General features: G+C 42.3%; 1 annotated feature.

Moving 5' to 3' along the window:
- Positions 3,939-4,102: a silencer, noted in NCBI's record as "fragment chr11:15887657-15887820 (GRCh37/hg19 assembly coordinates)". NCBI's record gives its function as "represses an EF-1alpha promoter that drives an FKBP-Casp9 reporter gene in an ReSE screen in K562 erythroleukemia cells {active_cell/tissue: K562}" and the evidence as "EXISTENCE:reporter gene assay evidence [ECO:0000049][PMID:32094911]".

The raw sequence follows: 9,083 nt of genomic DNA on the forward strand, positions 1-9,083 counted from the left end.
AAAGTTCAGAGTTCCCTCCAATGCTGTCTGCCTATCAGACCTTCACCGGCCCCCTTTAGATTCAAGTCTCTGAAACTAATCTTGTTTCTGTTCCTAAACAATGTTCAAGTCTTGGGTTGAGAGTTATGGCTACAGTATTCTCTCTTTTCCTAGAAAGAGAAACTTTAGATTCTCAAGATAACTGATAAGATTCTCAAAATGACTGAAAGTACTTACTCCATTGATGGTAATTTTATGATTTTGTAATACCCATTCTTTTCAGTTATTTGTAAAATTAAACAGATAACACATGCACACATTCTTACAAATTAAGATAATACCAATAAAGAGAAAATACCCTTTAGCTATCCTTTCTCCACTCTAACTCTCCACAGAGTTAACCAATACCACCATTTTATCCTCTGTCCTTCTCTGCTTTCAATAAGTATCTACACGTATATATGCGCATACAGAAAAATAAACATTTTGCTTAGTTGCTTGCTTTTGTTTTGTTTTTTTACATAGCATTAAATGAATTATTCTGCAATTTTTTTTTTTCATTTAAAATACGTTTGACCGGCCGCGGTGGCTAACACCTGTAATCCCAGCACTTTGGGAGGCTGAGGCAGGTGGATCACGAGGTCAGGAGTTCGAGATCAGCCTGGTCAACATGGTGAAACCCCGTCTCTACTAAAAATACAAAAATTAGCCAGGCATGGTGGCGAGCACCTGTAATCCCAGCTACTTGGGAGGTGAGGCAGGAGAATCATTTGAAACCGGCAGGTGGAGGTTGCAGTGAGCCGAGATCACACCGCTGCACTCCAGCCTGGGCAACAAGAGTGAAACTCCATCTCAAAAAAATAAAATAAAATACATTTTAAATATCTTTTCACCTACATTGTTTATTTTATTAATAGCTCTGGCTTGAATTCCATAGGTTAAATATCTCATACTTTTGTTAACCATCCTATAGGCAGGGCTGTGGTTTTCAGGTTTTCACTATCACAGACACTATTTCAATGAGCATTCTTGAACATGCCTATTTGGGCACCTGTATTTTTTCTGTAGTAGATTACTAGAACTTCCTTTGCTGGACAAAAAGTTATGTGCATCTTTACTGAGTATAAGCTCAGTACCAATTTGCTCTGTTATGCCAAATAATGTTTGACAGTACTTGCTTCTTAAAATGCTTGCCAAAATTAGATGATTTAACTTTTCTCAATCTGGTGGATAAAGCATAATGTCTCTTTATCATTTTAATCTGAATCTTCCTCACTATTCGTGAAGCTAAACATCTTCTTCTAAGGTTGTACATCATTACTTTTTCAATGGATTGACCATTTGTATTCTGTGACAGGCAGACTGCTAAAATAGACCACAAATGACCTTTACCACTTGGTTTTTATGCCCTTGTGTAATTCCCTTCCCTTGAGAATAGGCTGGACCTAGTGACTCGCTTCTAATGAATAGAGTATGGCAAAGATAATAGTCCTGTCACTTTCAAGGTCAGGTTACAAGAGGCCAAGCCTTCTGTCTTTTTAGCACTCTTTCTCTCTTCTCTTCAGTCTGATGAAGCAAGCTGCCATATTTGGACTTTGCCTATTTTTCTATTTTTTGATGTGTAGGCATTCTATGTAACATAGCTGAATATTCTTTGTGTGTTATATATGTCACAAATATGTTCTACCAATCTTGATTATCATTAACTTTGTTTATGGTTTTTTTTGTTATATCAAACTTTAAATTCTTAAAGTCTTCAAGTGTCTCAGTCTTTTCTACTACAGGTTTTAAATTTTGTGCCTTGTTTAAAAAGATCTTTGCTACCCCACAGTCATAAGCACCATGATAATTTATTCACTTCTTTCTCACGACTTCCACTCTAAGTTCTATGAAGGCAGGGGCTCTGAGCCTTGCTCATCTCTGGATTCACAGCCCTGAGCATAGTGCCTTGCAGGGAGCTGGCTTTCAGAAACACTTGATTGCATCCATGCAGATGGACTTTACAAGTCCGCGTTCCTCCCTCTCAGTGAGGTGTCTAATCTTGATTCCTGGGCTGAAGTGTGTGCATATCTCTGTTTGGTCTTTGCTAAGAGAGAGAACAGATGCCCTTTTAAACCTTCCCACAGCTTCCTCCCATTGCCCCATCAAGCACATTAATGCATACACTTCTTTGTAACTGCAAAATTTTGGCTCTTAAATATTGCTGGTGTGCTGAAGATCTCGCATTCTAAAAGGAAAAAAAAAAGTGTGTGTAGGGGGGAAATAATCTCAAGATTTTACTTAAAGTGCTGGTAAGGCTTCAATGCCAAGAAATGTAAAAATTTACAGCACGAATTAAAGTTACCAGAAGACACACCTGAGGAGAGACTGCCATGCTGAAAACAAGCCAAGCCTCAACCCCCACTGAGGCATTTACATGAAGTCAGAGGCTAGCAGGAGCAATGCCAGTGGTAGAGAGAACTCAAAGGGGGAAGAGCCAGGCCAGGCCAGGGGACTTTTACCACATAGCACAAAAGAAATCGAGACCTAGAGAGGTGAAAACTGTACCAGGCAACTGGGATATAATTTAATACAGAAAGGGGTGATTTGAGATTATACACTTTACCCTGCCATCAATGCATGTATATAAAAACTGAGTCCTAGAGAATGAAGTGAGTTGTCCACAATTAGGAGCAGAGTGGGGATTAGAAACCAGTTGTCAGTTTCCCGGGTCAGGGATCTTTCCACACAGTTCCAGAGAGGAAGTCCTGGCTCCAGGCAGAGGAATGAATGTTTCACTCCACATTTCTAGAAGGCCCAGAGTGAAATATCCCTTTTCCTGGGGAAGTTCGTAGGTGAGCTGCTGCTATCAGCTAGCATTTACTCCCTAGGCTGTTTTGGGAGAAAGGGGTTTTCAAAAATCTTGTAGCTGGGAATTTAACTCAGGCTGTATGGACTCTGAGTCTACTCTCCCCACAGGCAGAGGTTGGCTGTATGGCCAAGTAGAGTCTAGGCCTAGGCCACTCAGCCTCGTACCTCAAAAGTCAGGCATTGCCTTAAGGGGAAGAACAACCATGCCTCAGGCATGGTTGTTCTGGAGTATGGAGTGGATTCTACAGCGGTGGGTGGGTGAAGGAGCTCAACATCTGATCAGCACCACCAGTCCCTGAGACAGTTTGTACAGATTAGAAAAAGGCACCCCTTCATCAAGATGATTTACTACCTGCCATCTGCCAGAAAAGTACAATACATATACAAATCAACAAAGACAGGATATGCATGGCGCGCCCTGGAGTTGCACAATGCACACCCGTAACAATCGCGTGAATCAGCCTCTGAGCCACCCTCACCTCACTCTCCTCCATACAGCTGTGCAGGTGTTGTTCTTGGAGCCAGCAGAGCCAAAGACATTCCAGCCTCAGGACATCCTTTATGGTGCCTCTGGCCTTCAACTTCTGCTCTGTCCCCATGGGTGCCACCTCTTACGGGGCAAATAGATTTTTCTCCTAGATTCTACAAGATTCAGAGATCACCAATCTGGAAACACTCCAAGAAAACAAGTCTTGCATTCACCAAGTCCCAGCCCCTTGAGTGCAAAGCAGAATTGCTCCTGAGCCTAGAATAGACCAGTGACTTCCTAGGCCATGGCCAGCCAGGCCATGCCACCATTAACCTCTGTGTAAATGGAGGTGGCTGCCTGCAAATGGGACAGCTTCCACGGTCATTGTCTGTACTTACTGAAGTATGCATACTGCAGTTCAAAAGAATCAACTAATTGAAAGGAATGCAGGTACTAGCTTGTATTTTAGCAGAGCCTTGAAAAAAAAAAACTGAGAGAAAAGCAGATCAGATACTCAGGCTATAATGTGTTCATGCAAACACGGTTAATTGTTTTTCACTTGTGTGGTTTTCGCCATGAAAAGATTTTTCATGTTATTTAGTTATCAGAATCACTTTGAGGGAAACAGGAATCTTTGTTCTCATTTTACTCAGAGAAAATAAAAAATGAAGCAGAAAGACTTGGCCAGGGCCTCACCCTGAGCTGTTACCCAGTTTGGATTGGAACCTGAACTCCTCATCCAGTGCTTTCTTGGCCATACCACTCCCCCTGTACTCCTGTTCTTCAGGGCTTCCTCAGCCAGCACAGGCTCCCAGCCCACTGTCAGTCTCCCTTACCCTGGTTTGCCTAGGAGAAGAGGAACCAGAGATCTTCAGAAACATAGCAGGAAGGAGAGTCTTGGATGGCTTGGAAGGGTGAAGCTAGTTACTGCCTTAGAAGGGGCCACTCTGCACCAGCCCTGCCAGGAGCTGAAGACAAGCAATATCCCATAGAGTCCATTTTCTTCCTCCATTGTCAGAGTTAGTGGGTGAGTGCTCTCTTATCACCTGTCACTTCTCTTCCATAGCAGAAAGACAGAGGCAAGTAGGAAATGTGATTTGAAGATATTAAATGGTTTTTTCCTTCTTCTCTTCTGCTTCACCAAGTCCTTCCCCAGAACTTAATATATCACTATGCATGACTCCTCGGTTTGGCATTAAGATAGTCCTCTCTCAGATATTCATGGAGAAGAAGAGAAGATAAAAGAAGCAAACATTTTAAATTGTGAATTATAGTCCAGGAAAGTTCACATTTAAAATTCCACAAACACTCCCAGAAAAATGGTTAAGTTTTTTTCAAAAAGACTAACAATATCAGGTGTTGGTGAGGATGTGGAGCAACTGGAATGAATGCCTAAACATTGCTGACACAAGTGTAAATTGGGAAAACCACTTTGGAAAACTGGTAGTATTGACTAAAGGTAATTAAATGCTTTCCCTTTGACCAAGCAATTACACACCTGGGTTTATACCTAATAGAAATGAGTTATCATATCCTCCAAAAGAGAGGTACAAGAATGTTCATAGTGCCTTTACTCATAATAGCCCCCAAATAGGAAACAACTCAAATTTTCACCAACAATACAATAGATAAATTACAGTCTATGTGTACAATAGGATACTACATAACAATGAAAGAAGATATAGACAATATGAATGTATCTCACAGCCATAATACTGAACAAAAGAAGCCAGATGCAATACAGTGCATACCATATGATTTTATTTATAGAAATCCAAAAACAAGCAAGGTCCATAGATGGTGATATAGAGCAGAATTGTGGTTATCTTTGGGAAGGGGCACAAGAAATTCTATAGGGTGCTGAAAATACAGTTGTCTCTCAGTACATGCAGAGATTGGTTCCAGGGCCACACCTGAAGATACCCACATCCACACATACTCAAGTCCCATAGCTAGCCTTTTGGAACCTGCAGATACAAAAAGTTGGCCCTCTTTATAAGTGGGTTTTGCATCCCACCAATATTGTATTTCTGATCTGCATTTGGTTGAAAAAAATATGCCTATAAGTGGACTCACACTATTAAAATCCATGTCATTCAAGTGTCAACTGTAGCCTGGATCTCAGTTGAGATGGTTGGTGCCTACATGGGTGCACACGAATGCAAACATTCATCAAGCTATATGCTTAAGATATACGAACTGTTCAACCTCAACGAAAGAAAACAAAGGGAAAAACTCACAAATACCATAAAACCGTGGTTCTCAAAATGTGGTTCCCAGTGCAGCACCAGGGAACATGTTAGAAATGCAAATTCCCTGACCCCATCACAGACCCACTGAATCAGATGGGGATGGGGTCTAGCAATCTGTGCTTTAACAAGCCAAGGTAATTCTGACACATGCTAATGTTTAAGCATCCTTGCCATAAGATGTGGGTATTATTAGCCCCACTTTGCATATTTAAAAAAGCTAAGGCTCATAGAGAGAAAGTAACATATCCAAGTTCAGCCAACTACTAAGAAACTAAGTGTCATGAGCTGCACAAGATAAGATATAACCAGGCCCATGCATGTTTGTGTCTTTTCATAAGGTCTGATTTATTGATGCTTATTCAACCATAAAAGCCACAAGCTACATGGAGTTCCCAAGAAGGAAATTCTTAGTACTATCCATTTGCTTGGTAGTCAGAGACATGGCACACAGGCTCAAGCCACAGCATAGGTCAGTCAAAATTGCAAAACCATACATAGTAGTATACTCAATATATAAATGTTACAGATTACATCAAACAGAGTAACATTTAACATCAAGAGAAGAGGGGTGTATTAGTCAGGGTTCTCCAGAGGGACAGAACTAACAGGATATATGTATATATGAAAGGGAGTTTATTAAGGAGAATTGGCTCACGCAATCACAAGTTAAAGTCCCACAATAGGCTATCTGCAAGTTGAGGAGCAAGGAAGTCAGTGGTGGATCAGTCTGGGTCCCCAAACCTCAAAACTGGGGAAGCCAACAGTGCAGGCTTCAGTCTGTGGCCAAAGGCCTGAGAGCCCCTGGCAAACCACTGGTGTAAGTCCAAGAGTCCAAAAACTGAAGAACTTGGAGTCTGATGTTCAAGGGCAGGAAGCATCCAGCATGGGAGAAAGATGAAGGCTGGAAGACTCAGCAAGTCTGCTCTTCCATCTTCTGCTACCTGCTTTATTCTAGCATCACTGGCAGCTGATTAGATGGTGCCCACCCAGATTGAGGGTAGGTCTGCCTCTCCCAGTCCACTGACTCAAATGTTAATCTCCTTTGGTAACACAGTCACAGACACACCCAGGAACAATACTTTGCATCCTTCAATCCAATCAAGTTGACACTCAATATTAACCATCACAAGGGAATTTAAAATGGGGTTAATAAACCAGTCCAAGGAGAGTGACGTGTACAGACAGAGAGTGTCCCAGGCTGATCTGGATGGGAGTCAACGTCTTGCAAGGAAGAGTCCTTGATTTGGGCAGAGACTTCAGCAGCAGTTGCTGGGTGCTGAGGTGCTGAGTGACAGCAAGACAGTGTCTATTAAGGCAGCCACCTTGAGCTGGTGAAGTTCTATTCATTTTATAGCTCTTGAGTTCGCTGGTATAAATTGATAGTAAAGAATGTGACTGGTCATGTCCTTATCTAGTTGGGTGTAATCTCTATTGATTAGGCAAACATCCAGTCCCTATTGGCATCATGGCTTTTGAAATGTAAGATGGAGTCTTTTTCTAAGATGGAGTTACTTATGTCAAGGGTGCTGTATACACTAAGCTAGCATTTGAACCCATATCTGCCTCAGTCCTGTGCTCCTTTTGCAAAACCACACCGTCTCCCTCTATAGAAATATGGCTTTGCCAAGAGGGATGTGATATGAGGCCATGTTGTATCACTTCATTAATAAAAACAGGATTCTACTTCTGGGTTCCTATAGGCAGACAGGGCAGAAGGGTATGAATTTCAATTTCACAGGTTTTGCAATGGAGAAGGCCAGCTGAGACCTATTTCCTTGTTTTTCTAAACTGGTCTGATGCAGGAAGAGTTCCTGGAGGTGAAGCTGGAAAAAAAGACAGAGCCTAGGATCTGGCATGCCTTTTAAACCATCTTTAGGAGTTTGGACTTGGACCCAGGAGCAACAGGAAATCCATCATCTCTTCCCACTCTGACTGTAAGCTCCATGAGGGTGGGCACTATGTTTCATTCACCAGTACATACCCCACTCTAGCGTGGTGCCTGCCAAGTGGTAGACGCTAAATAAAGATTTGTTGAACTGATCAATTATTTTATGCTGGGGATGAAGTGACCCATTTTCTGTTTCTAAAAGCTAGCCCTGGCTGAGGCATGGTGGATAAATTTAAAGAGATCAAAGTTGGAAGCCACGAGACAGACTGGTTAGAAGACTAGTATAAGAATTCAGGCCACAGTGGAAGGGTCATGGCTAAGGTTGATGTCTGCAAGGATGGAGGGAAAGTAATTTATCTGCCAGCCAACCAAGTGAGGCATCTTGGTAGGAAACTCAATGTCTCTGAATGCCTTTCCCACTATAAAATGGGGAGAATTGTAGTATATACTTTATAGGGCTATGAGAATTAAATGAGATTGCAGACACAGTTCCTGGCACATAACCAGTATTCAAAAATGTTAGTTTAATATTGCTGCTGTTGTTTCAAACTCTGGGCCCAGGAAAGAGCCCTGCATTGCCAGTCTAGTGATCTTGTCATGGCTCTGCTTGACTTTGAGCCTTATGAATAAAATAAAAGTTGTGATGAGCTGACCTGGTGGGCCCTCACAGTGCTCATATTCTTTATTGTTTATTATTGTTGTTTTTTGGAGATGGAGTCTGGCTCTGTTACCCAGGCTGGTGTGCACTGGTGCAATCTCCATCTCAGCTCACTGCAACCTCCGCCTCCTGGGTTCAAGCCATTCTCCTGCCTCACCCTCCCAAATAGCTGGGATTACAGGTGTGTGCCAGCATGCCCTGCTAATTTTTGTATTTTTATTAGAGATGGGGTTTCTCCATGTTGGCCGGGCTGTTCTCAAACTCCTGACCTCAGGTGATCCACCCGCCTCGGCCTTCCAAAATGCTGGGATTACAGGCATGAGCTACTACGCCTGGCCACAGTGCTCATATTCTGCACTGTAAAGCTTTTACTAGCCCTGACAGACAAACACTGCATTACAGGAGAGAGGGAGACCCTCTGCCTTGGAAAAGTAGCACCTGCCAAATTTTTGGTTTGCTCCCTCAGACTTAGAGCTGTCCAGGGCCACAGAAGCAAATTGGAGGACAAAGAGTGTTAACTGTAATATCTATTCAAGGGCCCTTTATTAGCTTCTGCTATTAGTAAGGGGAGGGGGGCATCTACACATTTCTGAAATATCTGTTTTCTTCTTGCAAGACAGGGAACAGAATTCAAGCTTTCAAACTGTTTATAAAGTAATCAGCATTAATTTGTTCTGTTCAGGTTTTAATTATACACTGTAGGCCATTCTGACAGGACACCACCACCGCTGAGCCTGTCAGAGGAGATAATTTCCCACCAGGATGACCACATATCTCATGAATTATACATGAAACTTTGTTTCCTTGTGACTGTTGCTAAAAGATGCTGTCAGCCTCCTGAAATCTCAAAAGATGTGCAATTGTTTTTCGATAAGTCTAATTAGCAGGAAGTAGGTTGGGGGGAGGTGTTAAGAATGACTTCCCAGGGATGAGAGCTGCTGAGAGATGCCGAAAGGGCCCTTCCTCAGCTAGTGACCCTGGCAGGCT

Source organism: Homo sapiens, chromosome 11 (assembly GCF_000001405.40).
Source record: "Homo sapiens chromosome 11, GRCh38.p14 Primary Assembly".
Lineage (NCBI taxonomy): Eukaryota > Metazoa > Chordata > Mammalia > Primates > Hominidae > Homo > Homo sapiens.